The sequence below is a fragment of the Homo sapiens genome, chromosome 12 (assembly GCF_000001405.40).
Source record: "Homo sapiens chromosome 12, GRCh38.p14 Primary Assembly".
Lineage (NCBI taxonomy): Eukaryota > Metazoa > Chordata > Mammalia > Primates > Hominidae > Homo > Homo sapiens.
In genome coordinates, this window is record NC_000012.12 from 19053736 (window position 1) to 19069305 (window position 15570).

General features: G+C 37.5%; 1 long non-coding RNA gene across 1 annotated transcript in view; it reads left to right on the forward strand.

Moving 5' to 3' along the window:
- Positions 1-15203, forward strand: part of LOC107984527 (uncharacterized) — a 32110-nt gene extending 16907 nt beyond the window's left edge. Inside the window, exon 2 of the long non-coding RNA XR_001749033.1 lies at positions 14849-15203. This is a non-coding gene — a long non-coding RNA (uncharacterized LOC107984527). The remainder of the gene's footprint in view (positions 1-14848) is intronic.
- Positions 15204-15570: the final 367 nt, after the last annotated feature.

Sequence of the window (15570 nt, forward strand, 5' to 3'; positions counted from 1 at the left end):
AGCTTGTCAAATTAGACAAGAAACAGCCAAATCTGCCTTGTCATCTGTGTCCAAAAAAAAAAGAATCTAAAGATGTCAGAAATATATATGCTTTATCTTGCCCTCAGCCCATTCTTGCTAATTATAAAAAAGAACAATGGATGCTAAATGGTTTTACACTTCTCTTAATTTTGATGTTCCCTTATGAAAAATGAATCTTTCTTACCACTGGAGCCCATGAACAGCGTGCACAAACTGGCTCTGATGGAGAGAAAAATTGCCTAAGAGTGGAGAGTAAAAATATGTGGCTTTTTCACTAGCTTGAATGCTTGAACCAATATGCAGAAAACCCTAGCTGCCAGAGAGAAAGATGGAAGTTGGACAGAGAAAAGGTAAAGCAGATGCTCTCAAAGGTTTGAAAAGCAATTCTAAGTTTCCACAAAACTAGAATTAGACCTGCAGATGACACATGTAAAATGCTGACACACCCATATCTGTTCCCCATGTTGCCTCTCTTGTCTTTTTCTCCCATTCAAATTTATTTCCTCTCCTCTCTCCTCCTTTTCTACATCTCAGCACCACCCTATATGTAAAATAAATGACAATGAAAAAAACAAAGAGACTATCTCTTATGCTCACTTCGGAATTCCTTGTTTGTGTATACTATTGTAAATTCTTGTTGGGCAGACATACTGTTATTTAAAATTATTTCCTTGATTATTTCCTCAAAGCCGGAGGCAGTGGCTGACACCTGTAATCCCAGGATCTGAGGAATTGCTTGAGGCCAGGAGTTTAAACCCAGCCGGGGCAACATAGCAAAACCATCTGTACAAAAATCTTAAAGAAAAGAAAAATTAGCTGGGCTTGGTTGGTAGGCTGAAGGGGGAGGATGGTTTGAGCCCAGGAGTTTGAGGCCGCAGCAAGCCATGAAGGCACTACTGAACTCTAGCCTAAACAACAAACCAAGACATTGTCTCAAAAAAAAAAAAAAAAAAAAACCAAATTATTCTTTCCTGTGATTTATAAAGTTCTCTTTAGACTCTCCTTCCCTACAATATTTCAACTGGTGAAAAAGTCAACCAAAAAATATTAGTTCCTTCATGGACGTTGGTCTTTACTGGTTGCCCAATCCATTCACCTTCCGCCAATTTCGTTCTGGGAAAATGCCCCTTCCCCATTGCATGTGGTCGTGGCAAGGAAAGCAATTGCCCGTCTTTGGAAACCAAGTGTTCCAGATCCTTTTTCTGGTAGTCCCAAGGGTCAGTTGTGTGACTTAACTCCAGCCAATCAGTTCTCTCTTTTCTGGGACTGTGAATATTGAGTGAATAATACAAGAATGAAGAAAACATTGTAGAGATGATTTCATTTCAGTGGCAATAAAAGAGAAGAGGTGCGCTAACCAGACAAGTTTTGCCATGAGATGGTTCTGTTCTTCCTGCTTCCTGGTTTTCTAAATCCCCTTTTGCTCCTCTCTGTTCCCAAGCCTTGCCTTGCTGCCTGCTAGCCTGTTATCCCCACGTAAGCAAGCACCATATCCATCCCTTCCCCTACCACCAAGGTCCTAAATAAATGTACTTTGGTTTAAGCTAACGGTAGTCAGTTTCTGTTGATCACAATTAGGGTAACTGATAGAATACTCTAGAGATGAAAGTGAAACTACAAAAGATCATTTGCAAACTATTTTTTATTGCAACAAAAATGCTTGTGAAGGGAAAATTGGTAAGATTTTTGCTATGTGGAGAAATAGACTACACAATTTGTAATGAAACATATTTTAAACAATTTTCCCTTTTAAATAATTTCAGTATGTCCTGGGAAAATGGAAGCCATCAAATTTTAAAAGAAAAATAGGCAGTTAATAATGTAAGGACTGTCCCTCCACTTTAGGACAGAGTTAGGGGGAAGGATATTAATAGAGAATACCAGAGATTTTAAATTTGACAGCGTGAAGCCTGAAAAATTCTAAAATTTATCTAGATTAGGGAGAGTGCTGGATCAAAGATCGAATGACCAGAGTAATGGCAGTGGAGTGAGCAGATGTGACAAGAGGACGTGTCATGAATGGCCCCAATTAATACTCTTGTTGACAGGCAGCTGAGTCATTAAATGACAGTGAACGAAAAACTGTAAATGAGTAGAGAGAACCCATGGGTAGGAGAAGACAACATAAGAAAACCAAATGATACACTTATAGCTTGATAATGGCTCCACTTAGTTAATGCTAGTTATTAATTTTTACTGATAAACTTCAGTATGTAAGTATCACTAACTTTATCAGGAAACTACTTTTCATATATACCTCTGCCATTTTAATTTTTTGATATGATAGGGAGAAAATGCAAAGATGAGGAATTCTGTGTTATAATGTACCATATCATGGGCAACACAGAGCTTGGACTGAATGGGTGACTCGTGTGTGTGTGTGTGTGTGTGTGTGTGTGTGTGTGTGTGTGTGTTGAGCATAAGTATACAGAAAAGCAAGAAGAATGAATGGAAATCTAAGCTTGAATTGCCTGAATCAAGATTCATGCTGGAGAGAAATGAAAACCAACATAAAGATTGTCATTGAGGCTATAAGAAATGATGCATGCTTAAGGAGTACTGGGAATAGAAAAAAAATAGCAGAATTCTGACACAAGAGTTCTGAGAGACAAACACATTAAAGAGAAAGAAGAAGCAGCAAAAAGAATATGAGGGAAACTGGCTGAAGAAGTATCAAGGGAACTAAGAAAATACACTATTCAAGAGAGAGAGATTCAAGGGAAATGCTGCACACATCAAAGAAACTGCTGATAAAGAAAGGGCCTCCAGATTGGGTTCTGCATAAATGCATTATTATAGCATTAGCAACATTTTTCTGATTTTTAATTAAAACACATGTATTACTAAATTTAGTAATATACTAAAAAGCATTTGGAATATACCAAAGATCTATTTTGACATTTTACCACAATATAATTATTTCCAGAGAACAGGGATGTCTATTTTTGTGGCATAAATTACAGTCAAGGACCAGGCGCGGTGGCTCACTCCTGTAATCCCAGCACTTTGGAAGGTTGAGGCGGGTGGATCACTTGAGGTCAGGAGTTCGAGACCAGCCTGACCAACATGATGAAACCCCATCTCTACTAAAAATACAAAATTAGCTGAGCGTGGTGGTGCATGCCTGTAATCCCAGCTACCTGGAAGGCTGAGGCAGGAGAATTGCTTGAATCTGGAAGGTGGAGGTTGCAGTGAGCCAAGATCATACCATTGCACTCCAACCTGGCCAAACAAGAGTGAAACTCCGTCCAAAAAAAAAAAAAATTACATTCAGAGACATGGAGACTGCTAGCACCAAAAAAAAAGTGTGCTTGACTAGCATCAAAGGAACAAAAGAAGTTGAGTCCAGAGTTAATCCCAGCCATAGTTCTACATATTTATGATTTGTTTTGTTACTCTACATGGCAAGAAAGCTACTTTGGAATCAAGCAAGCTTGTTTGAGCTCAGATCAGCTGCTTTCTAGGTGTGTGATCTCACAGTTATTTAATTTCTTCAAGCCTCCGTACCCTCATCTATAAAATGGAGCAAATAATATCTACTTCAGTGAGGGTTGCCTTCCTTAGTGTTCTTAATTATGGCTGATTATATATAAAGTGTTTGATATTGGAGTTATTTTTTAATGCCTGTACCTATCTGGTAAGATTTCAGAAGCTCCAACTTACGGTCAGGCACAGTGGCTCACACCTGTAATCCCAGCACTTTGGGAGGCTGAGGTGGGCAGATCATCTGAGAGGTCAGGAGTTCGAGACCAGCCTGGCCAACATGATGAAACCCTGTCTCTACTAAAAATACAAAAATTAGCCGGGTGTGGTGGCACGTGCCTGTAATCCCAGCTACCCAGGAGGCTGAGGCAGGAGAATCACTGGAACCCGGGAGGCGGAGGCTGCAGTGAGCTGAGATGGCACCACTGCACTCCAACCTGTGCAATAGGGCAATAGAGCGAGACTCCGTCTCAAAAAAAAAGAAAGGAAAAAAAAAAGCTCCAACTTACTTGCCTTCTTTCCTTGTCACCATCAGCATCAACGCCTCCATTCCATACTTAGATTGAAATCCAAACTTCCCACTTTAGATTAAATCCTTTGGCTAAAGAATGTCCTGGTTTAAAAGATTAAAAATACTGAAAGATAACACATTAGGCTTGTCAGTCTGCCCCAATGGATAAGTTTATTTAATTTTTGATTGAGAGTGTATTTTAATGGGGGTAAAAAGTCATTGAAAGTCCTGAATCCGTTTGGAATAGTAGTGTAAGTGTATCATCCTGAGAAGGAAAACAGGGCAAAATGGGGAACCTGGAAGCACAGAAACAAACTTTATCTTCTTTATGGATATCTCCCAGGATCTAACTTAGTTTAGAAAGTGTTATTTCAGGCAGGGTGGAGAGAGAAAAAAAAAAGATCTGTTCAATATTCAACAGTTATGACTTTCTAAAGTGCCATGAGGGTAAAATATAAAAGCTTTTATTAAAATTCAAGCATTCATAATACATTTTTATTTATAGATAGCCTTTATTCCCAAAGCTCTTGGGACTTTGCAGACACGTTACAATTCAACCTCAATTTATCTTCACAAGTATGTCACTAAAGTGTGTAAGGAGTAGGTATAACTCTATTATCTTCAGATTACAGATATAGAAATGAAAGCAGAGACAGATAAAGTAATTTATCTATGGCCTCACTACACGTAAGTGGTTGAGCAGGGAACAAAGCCAGTCATGTAATAGATACCTCTCCTGTCAGATAAGGACATCAGCATCCCATCCCAGCTAGGACCTGCCTTTTTCTGAATCCTTAGTACCAACAAATAGAAGGCTGGGAAGATGGAAGGTCCTATTCAGAGAAATAGAAATTAACAGTTCAGTCTCTGACAAATCATTGCTGATATGGTTGCTGTGGATTTGAGGCTGTGAGGTGAGCCAGAAGTTGAGGCTAGTCTAAAGGGCAGAGCAGTTTCTGGCCATTAGATGAACATCTGTGTGCCCTAAAGCCTGCTCTCCTGCACCTCCCACCATTCCTGCCTTTAGCCAGCTTCAAGCCCAGCGTGGCCGAGCAAGTCACACTGCAACTTCGGCTCAGCTGAATGGGTCCTGAACCCTAACCTAGCCCACCCACCAAATCAGCATTGCACTGCAGCCACTGTCTGTCTCTGAGGTAAAACTGGAGCATACATCACTCTGACACTGAGCCAAATTCTGAGGCAAGACTTTCACTTTGTTTTTCCACCAGTTATTTTCTTTCAAAGGTCATTGTTCAGAAGAAAATAAAGGAGAGCTGGCATGAATATTTTCAGGAAAGGATAATAAACGAGCACTCATTCATTATTTTTGTTTATAAAAATCTACTTTCCTTTCTTGAGAAAAATGAAATAAGATGGTAGAATAATTACTAAAATTGGATGTTTAACAATAAATGGTTAAGATCACTTATCTTAGGTAAAGATATGTAAAGATGTATAAAGCCTTAAGCCAAAGTTATTGCTTACGATTGTGACAAACTTGAATTTAGGTGAAAAAAAACTGGATTCAAAAATGTATGGTTGGCTTAGATACAAACTTCTCACTGTGATGCTTGAAGCAAACCAAAATAAAGCCCTCCCTCTATTTTCATAGTCTCCTTTTTTCTATTCCCCAAAGTAGACCTCTCAATATAATTAAATCGTATTATTTCCTCTTCCAAAATATGTTTTACATTTTCTTTTATCTTTGTTAGAATGTTGCTACTGCTTAAAATGTACTTCCCTTCCATCCCAATTAATAATGATAAAAGATTTTATTCATCAGGAAGTTGTAACAACTCTAAATTTATATGTGTCTAATGCTATGACCTCAAAAAGAGTAGTTCATTTCAGGACTATAAAAAGAAATTTGTGAATCCACAATAAAAGAGGCAGATTTTTAACACAACTCTTACTAACCAATAGAATAAAAAGACAAAAAATCAGTAAGGATGTAGAAGATTTGAATAACAGCATAGCAAACTTGTTCTTTTCTGCTACACACAGAATATAGTATTTATTAAAACTGGGTTCTCAAGAAGCTAAAAAAAGAAAAGGAAATTAAACCACAAATGTAAACTAAGGAAATATTAAAGCTAAGAGCAGAAACTGGGTTCTGTCACATATCCTTGTGTTTTGGTTGTTGTTGTTCTGTTTTTAATAACTCTTTCAAAATATAAAAACCGTTCTTAGCTCACTGGCCCAAACAAAAACAGGCCATGGGCCAGGTTGACCTGAGAACTATAGTTTGCCCACTCCTGCTTTAGATCATACAGACATTAAAATGATCATAACAAGATATTACAGGCCGGACACAGTGGCTCATGCCTGTAATCCCAGCACTTTGGGAGGCCAAGGCAGGAGGATTACTTCAACACAAGAGTTCAAGACCAGCCTGGGCAGCATAGTGAGACTCATCTCTACAAAAGAAAAAAGAATATATTATTTTTAAAATTTCATGTCAATAAATTTTAAAATTTAGATGACATGGCTGGGCACAGTGGCTAAAGCCCGAAATCCAGCACTTTGGAAGGCCAAAGCGGGCAGATCACTTGAGGCCAGGAGTTTGAAACCAGCCTGGGCAACCTGGCAAAACCCCGTCTCTACTAAAAATACAAAAATTAGCTGGGCATGGTGGTGCACACCTGTAATCCCAGTTAGTTGGGAGGCTGAGGCACAAGAATCGCTTGAACCCAGGGGACAGAGGTTTCCATGAGCTGAGATCATGCCACTGCACTCCAGCCTGGGCAACAGAGTGAGACTCTGTCTCAAAAATAAATAAATAAAATAAAATTTAGATGACATGGACAAAGCACAAGCTACCAAAACTAAGACAAGAATAAAAAGTCTAAATGGCCTGTTAAAGATACTGGATTCTCAATTTAATTCCTTCCCACAGAGAAAATGACAGGCCCAGATGGTTTGCTGGTAAATGCTACCAAACGTTTAAACAGACTTTTCTAGAGAACAGCAAATGAGGCACTATTTCTCTTTATTTTTGAAGTTATTATGTTAATGTTGATATCAAACCATGACAAAAATGCTTCAAGAAAGAAAAAGTCTGAGTCAGTATCACTCAGAGCACAAATTGAAAAAATCCTAAACAAAATTCTAACATCAAATTTAGCAAAATATAAAAATCTGAGTTCATTCCAAGAGTGCAAGATTGGTCAAAGATTTAAAAATCAGTCAGTTCAATTTATCACATTAGTGGAAAAGAGAAAATTCATATGATCATTTAAATAAATAAAGAAAATACTGTGATAAAATTCAAAATCTATTCATTATAAAAATTCTCATCAAACTAGGAATACAAGGTAATCTTCTTATTTTGTTAAAGAGTACGAAAAGGAAAGATACAGCAAGCATTATTCTTAGCGGTGAAACGGTGTAAGCTTTCTACTGAGATCTGGAAAAAGATGGGTATGTCTGTCGTTACCACTTCCTTTCAACATTGGAAGAAGGTAGCCACCAGTACAGAAAGGGAGCCCAGCTAATACAGAAAAACAAAAGGGAAAGAAAATGAGGAATGGGAAATGGGGGGAAAGACTGGAAAGAAAGAAATAAGAAATAAAACCCAGATGATATGTGCATGTGTTCATAGAAGTGTCAAAAGAATGACAGAAAATTAGCATTAACAAGACAGTTCATCAAAATTGCTACACAAGTAAATAAATGCATTCCTTTTCCTACTTCAGGTCAGGAAGAATATTCTCCTGTTATGTTCTAGAAGCTCCAGAGGCTCCTAAATATATTACTTTATGGCAACAATAAACAGAAAATAAAATTTTTAAATGATACTATTTATTATAAACCAAAAATGTTAAATTATTAAATATTAAATCTAACAAAAGACATATAAGACCTCTATACAGAAAACTATGAAACATTGAAAGACCTTAAAGACTAAAACAAAAGGAGAGACACACCATGTTCATGAGTTTGAAGACTCAATAATGTAATGTCAATTTTCTTCAAACTGCTGTATAGAGTCAGTACAATCCCAGCTAAAATCTTAACCCATTTTTAAATTTGTTTTATATGTGTGTGTTTACATATATTATGTGTGTGTTTATATTTATGTGTTTGTGTATTTGTCTTGTTGTTGTTTTCATGGAATTGGAAAAGCTGGTCCTAAAATGAAAATGCATCAAAATGCAATTGGACCAGTCCGGTACCAAAATGGAAATATATGGAAATGCAATAGACTCAGAATAGTGAGGATACTCTCGAAGAAGAACATGATGCGAGGACTTACTCTACAGGACATTGATACACCCTACATGTAAAAATAATTAACACAATATGGTATTGATTAAAGGACAGACAATAAAACAATGAAATGAAAACAAAATTCCAGAAATAGACCTGTTCATATCTAGATCCTGAATTACAATTAACATGGCACTTCAGAATAGCAGGGAAAGCATAACTTTACAATAAATGTTGCTGACAACATTGGAAATCCCCATAGGTGAAAAAAAAAATGGACTCTAAACTTAATCACATGCCATTCAGAGAAAACAATGCCAGAGAGATTGCAAATTTAAGTGTGAAAAAACAAAATTCTGAAGCTTCTAGAAGATGTTAGTAGAATTTCTTCATGACCTAGATAGAATTGGAAAAGACTTCATAAACAGGGCACCAAAAGCAAAATCATAAAAAGAAAGACTAATTAAAGTTACTATATCAAGTTTATTGAGACATCAATAAGAGAGTAAAAAGTAAGCCATGAGTAGGAGACAATATTTTTAATATACATAAACAATTCTACAAACCAATAATAATAAAGGTGAACAACCAAATGGAAAAATGTGCAAGAGATTTGAACAGCCAACTCACAAAAGATGATATCCAAATAGTCAATGAATGTATGAACATGTGAAAGGTACTGAACTCATTGGTTAATGTAAACTCAGGGAAAATGTAAACTAAAAGTAGATAAAGTACCACTACAAACCCATCAGTGTGGCCAAAACTTAAGACTGAAAATACCAATCATTGAGGCATTCACTATTGTTTAGCATATAAAATTAATGCAATCTGCTTAGCAGAGTCTGGCAGTGTCTAAGGATTGAATACAAGCACACTGTAGATCTAGCACTTCCCCTCCTAGGAACAGATATAACAGAAATGTGTACATATGTGCACCAAGCGCCATGTAGAAGCACGTTCTTAGCGGTATTATTTGTTTTTGCCTCAAACTAAAAATACCCAAATGCCCATTAACAGTAAAATTGATAAATGAATTGTAGCTGTAATTCTATAATGGAAGATTAAAAAATACTGAAAAATAAAAATTACAGTTAAAATAAAATCCTGAGTAAATTTCACAAATATGACGAGCAAAAGAAACCAGCCATGAAAGCATTTATATTGTGTAATTTCTCACTATATAATTCAAAACAGACAAAACTAAACTATAGAGTTTAGCAACACATGCCTAGAGATAAATCTATAAAGCAAGCCAGAAGATGATTACAATAACAGCCAAGGGAAGATGAAGGGAACGTAAGTTGGATTTCTGGGGTGCTGGCAGGATTTTGTTTTACTTTTATTTTACATTTGGGGGGTACATGTGAAGGTTTGTTACATAGGTAAACACCTGTTGTGAGGGTTTGTTGTACATATTATTTCATCACCCAGGTATTAAGCTTAGTACCCAAGAGTGATCTTTTCTGCTCCTCTCCCTCCTCTCACCCTCCTCCCTCAAGTAGACCTCAGTGTCTATTGTTTTCTTCTTTGTGTTCATGAGTTCTTATCATTTAGCTCCCACTTATAAGTGAGAACATGTGGTATTTGGTTCTCTGTTTCTGTGTTAGTTTGCTAAGGGTAATAGCCTCCAGCTCCACCCATCTTCTCACAAAACACATGATCTTGTTCTTTTTTTGTTTCCTTTTTGAGACGGAGTCTTGCTCTGTCACCCAGGCTAGAGTGCAGTGGCGCGATCTCGGCCCACTGCAACCTCCACTTACTTCCAGGTTCAGGCAATTCTCCTGCCTCAGCCTCCCAAGTAGCTGGGACTACAGGCATGCACCACTATGCCCAGCTAATTTTTGTATTTCTAGTAGAGACGGGGTTTCACTATGTTGGCCAGGATGGTCTCGCTCTCTTGACCTCGTGATTTGCCTGCCTCAGCCTCCCAAAGTGGATCTTGTTCTTTTTATGGCTGCATAGTATTCCATGGTGTATATGTACCACATTTTTCTTTATCCAATCTGTCGTTGATGGGCATTTAGGTTGAGTCCATGTCTTTCCTATTGTGAATAGCGCTGCAATGAAGATTTTATTTCTTGATCTGGGTGGTGGTTACATGCCTTATGATAAATTATTAGGCCATACGTTTTTGGTTTTTTGGTTTTGTTTTTTTTTTTTTTTCAGACGGAGTCTCACTCTGTCGCCCATGCTGGAGTGCAGTGGCATGATCTCAGCTCACTGCAACCTCTGCCTCCCGGGTTCAAGTGATTCTCCTGCCTCAGCCTTCCAAGTAGCTAGGATTACAGGCACCTGCCACCACGCCCGGCTAATTTTTGTATTTTTAGTAGAGGCGGGGTTTCACCGTGTTGGCCAGGCTGGTCTCAAACTCCTGACCTCAAATGATCCACCCACCTCGGCCTCCCAAAAAGTGCTGGGATTATAGGCATGAGCCACTGCACTTGGCCTGTATATGTTTTAATTGCAAAATTTAAAAGCTTTTTTAAAAACCTTCAACATGAACCTGTTGGTGGTATCCAGTGATACTGCTACTTGCGGCAAATGGCCTGTTAAATTCAGTCCTGGCCTTTGCATTGTGCTTTCAGTAACCATATATGAAAGCCCAACACAGCAATTCTTACTGAAGCTATCATCTCACTATTTAAATGAAAGACTTTAGAATTTTTCTTTTTATGCAAAATGAATTGTAAGGATTTTCAGAAGAGAAAGAACAGCAAACATCTCAAACCACATGTAGTTTTAATTAAAACTCTCCTAGTAGAAAAAAAAAACGTTATCATCAGCTGCTGTATGTACCCTCTAGGACCTCCATAGGAGTGCTCTGCTTTCCTTAGGAGAACTGTCAATATGCACACACACTTGAAACAGATGAGAGACTTAGCAGCAAAGATCCTCATCCTGTGTGGTAGCCCATCACAGGAAGGGGCAATGGAGCCCAGTGAGTTCTCTCTTCACCATGGAGCTGCCTGCCACCCAAGACAGGCATTTAACGTGTTGGCTCTGGCAACCCTCACTTCCCTTGTCATTCCAATTAAGCTATTAAAATCAATGCAGAAGTCTTAGCTACTTGGGAGGCTGAGGAGGAAGAAGCATTTAGCCCAGGAGTTCAAGACCATCCTGGGCAACTTAGAGAGGCCCTGTCTCTACAAAAAGAAAAAAAAAAGGGGTTTTTTTTTAATTAGCCAGGAGTGATGATAAATTATTAGGCCACTACAGGCCTGTAGTCTGAGCTACTGGAGAGGCTGAGGCAGGAGGATCACTTGAGCCCAGGAGTTTGCTGCAGTAAGCTTTGATAGTGCCACTGCACTCCAGTCTGGGTGACAGGGTAAGATGCAGTCATTAAATAAATAAATAAGTAGAAGTACTTAAAGCTAAAGTGTTACAGTAGATGTTCTTAAAGGGGTCAGAAATTTGTACCCTGACTTCTTAGCAAGATGCTTTTCCACTTTGTTAACCTCAAAAAGAAAAAAGTCTAAAGGTCACACCTATATTCCGTGGCTTCATTGATTTCTTCAGTTTCTTTTCCACTAGGTGAATGTTTACCCTCTCGATATTTTTTTAAAATTTCTATTTGATATGAGAGAGTAAAAGTTTACACTTTAAAATCCTCTCCACTCACCTTCACCCTCCCCCAACCAAACCTCAGCTTTTCCTGGACCAAAATCTCAACTAGTGTCCACAGACATGGATACATACCTAGAGCAAAATAAATCAAATGGGAATTTTAATGCACTCAATACAGTTGAGCTAAAAGTCACTTATTTTATGAAGAAAAGATAACAACCTTTCTTATGCTAGAGCACACTCGCTTCTTGAACAAAGTTCAGTGGTTAAAGCTGGTGGGGAAACGACCTATTTCGGATGACAGATAAATAAATTCCAGGTTAAATACTAGAGAAATATCTTAATGAAGATTTTTTCAGACTAGAGCAACCTCCTGAGGGAAACAGTTTGAAGTGACATCATTTGAGACATTTAAATTATAGTGGATAAAGTACTCAAACCCACCACAAAGAAACACTCTTTGTAGAACTCATGGGAAAATTACTGGGATTTATAATAGGCCTTTTCTATGAGGAGGTAAGCCTGCCTACGAGGCAGACCTGCTATTGAATAAATGTTATTTTAAATGGAGTGTGGCTGTATTGTAACTCAGTTCCTCCTTCTATGGAGAAGAGCATGAATGGGTAGGTTAGCCAAAAAATTAATAGGTTTTTTCTTTTTAAAGCAGTAGATTTCTTCACAAAGCCTACCTAATTATGTGAGTTTTTCCTCAAGAATGACATGCTTCAATGCTCATTTTCTTTCAACTATTTTTTTAAATGTTATCTACCCCAGGACTTCCAACCCCCTTTCTCTAACAAATCAGCATGTAGCAGAGAAGTTCTGAACTAACACAGCTTTGAATGTCAAATGTTTAAATTTGAATGTTCTGCCTTTTCGATAAAATGAATTTAACAGTGACCCTCCAAGGATTTTCCACTTCCAGTCTTACCCAGAACAGCCCTCATTAAGCATGTAGCACTCCACAAAGAGTAAATCATTTATTTGGAATCAGCCCTTATGAGCTAGAAAAACTACCTTTCAGAAAGCCTTCATTTCAAAGGACAATTGCCATATTCTGTAAGCCTATTGATTTTTCTTCACTGTTGGAATGAAGAATGTAAACAGAATTGCATATTTACTCATTGCCTTTTCTGATACCTTTGCTCTGAGAGCTCAACACTTCTGTCCCACGTGTATGAAAGGCTGCTCTTTCCAGAGCTGGTCCGTGTGAGATGATTAATGAATGGCCAGACAAAATTCTGATTAATGCTCCACTATTAAGATTTGCCTTTACTTCAAGAGCTTTTTATAAGTTCATAGTTTTGACCCCACAAACCTTTCTCCCCTCCCCCCCCCGCTTGGTAATTGCTAAAGTTTGACAGCCACTGTGTTTGCTGCCTGTAACATATGGCTAATTGAATCAGAGTTGGGGAAAGAACCAGTAGATTCCTAATTATGATCCACTCCACAGATCTGAAGCCTGAATAAGCAGGAAACAAGGAAAAGGCTGCAGAGCCTAGAAAACCTATTATAGCGGTGATTGTAGCAGGATGCAAACATTTCTAAAACTGACTGAATATCATTTATTTAGAAAGCGTAGTTTGCTTTCTGTCTTTTAATTACACAAAGCAAAGAAAGATTAGAGAGAGATTTGCTTTTATCTGTGTGATTTTTGCACGTCTGGACACTGGACACCTCATATTCTCATAATCATATTTTAGTAGACATTTGCATTTCTAATAAGGCAAACACGCTGGATTTTCATCTTATAGGTTCTTCTCCATCCTCAACACTCCAGTTATGAAGACACATGTATATATTTTTAAATGCGTGTTTCAATTTCAAATGAATTTTTCTACAGCAGTTAATGGTAACATATGTCCTCTGAATTGCTTCCCCCGGGGTGAAGAGTAAGGCAATAAATGAAATATTCATCGAATATTGCTGCTGAACATTTAACTAACAATGCAAGGCACATTACTAGGTGTCAGAAGGGTAGGCACACGATAAAACACAGCTTTTCCATTTGTTTTCAGTGCTTGGGGAAGTAAGCAAGATGAACAGTAGCAGTATAATGTGAGATAGGTCATGGTCTATACATAAGGAATATGTTATTTGATTAATGCCTTCCATTAGACTATAAATGAAACCTAGCACAGTGACACAAAATAGGTTTCAATAAATATTAATTATGAATGAATAAAGGAAGGAGGGAATATAATATACAGTTGTATTGGACTTTTGAGAGAAATCACTTCTGATTATGGGATTCTAGAGAGACTTTCTTAAGAAAGATTTTGGTTTCAGTCTTAAACTAATGGATAAACTTATAGTAGGTATGACGTGGGTCACTCTACTGAGATGACTCAAGCATAGGCAAAAAAGTAAGATACAGGATATATTTGGGTGGCACAATTAATCTAGTTTGTTTAAGAAAGTCATCTATAATACTTGACATTTTTTCAGCATGTTATAAATTTTATAAAGATACGTGAAAAAGAGTAGTGGGAGACAGACCTAGAAAGGTAAATTGGGAACAGATCTTGGATAACCTTGATTACAGGTTAATGATCATGACAACCATCAATGTCTGTGGGTTAATTCAACTTGTAACCATTTATTCGTAACAGGAAATGTTCTCTTCTCTGAAGTCTTTCAAGAACTCATATACTGAAATTAACATATTATAGTAGTAAAGATAAAGTAATGGCTGTCCCTGGAATCCGTTCTCAGGATCAACTTGGAAGGTAGTAGAGCTGGATAATTCCACTGAGAATTGACATCCATATTAGAAACTTCAGTCCCTCTCCCTTTTTCCTTTTGGCAGCTTGCCAGCTGTAACTAAAAATAACTCAGAACTTTAATTTAAGAGATAATATCTATGGTGTCTTTGTTAACAATCATATTTTTATTGTAAGAACTTAGAAGAAGGAATAAAATATCTCATTGAAAGGCTAGGTAGTGACAAGAATGTAGTTTCTTTGGAATTTGTGGCAAAGACTATCAATTGTTTACACCAACAGCTGTTCTTCTCTAATAGTATATTAACATTATAAAATCCATTATTTTTGACAGCAAATATAGATACCTGGAGAATTCCAAGAATACAGTCTAAGTTTCTAACTTTCCTTGCTAGTGTAATTATGTGAATAATTTCTGGCCAATAAGACAAGCAAAAGAATTGTGTGCAACTTCTGGGAAGAGAAGAGATGTGACTTCCTTCATCTTGTTCTTCACCTTGCTGTCTGGAATATGAACTTGATGGCTGGAACTTGAGCAGCCTTCTTGGATCAGAAGGCGGCCTGGGAATAGGAATAGAGCTGAAGAGAAGCCGCTGCATTCTTGAAAATTATAAAGATGCCATGCCATTTCAGCTTGCTTTCCTGTGGACTTCATTTATATGTATGAAATAAAAGTTTATATTGTTTAAGCTCCTGTGGGTTTTCTGTCACTTGCAACTAAATACAAACTTATATAATTTGAAATGTTAAGAAATTAAAGAATTTTTAGGAATAATAGCAATATATAAAGCATCTTACAGTAAATTAGATTGTTGCTAAGGAAATGTTCATTCTTCCCCTTTCCATAGAAGGAACACACTTCCCTACTGATGGATTTAGCCATGTGACTTCCTTTAACCAATAAGATGTTAGCATACATGATGAGAGCCAAGGCTAGAATGTGTCTGTGTGATTGAGTTTGCCTCCTGCACTCCTTCTTATTGCTATGAAAAGAACTTCTGCTGGATAGCTATTACTTTGTAGACCAAGTCCCAAAAGGAATATTCATGAAGGAGA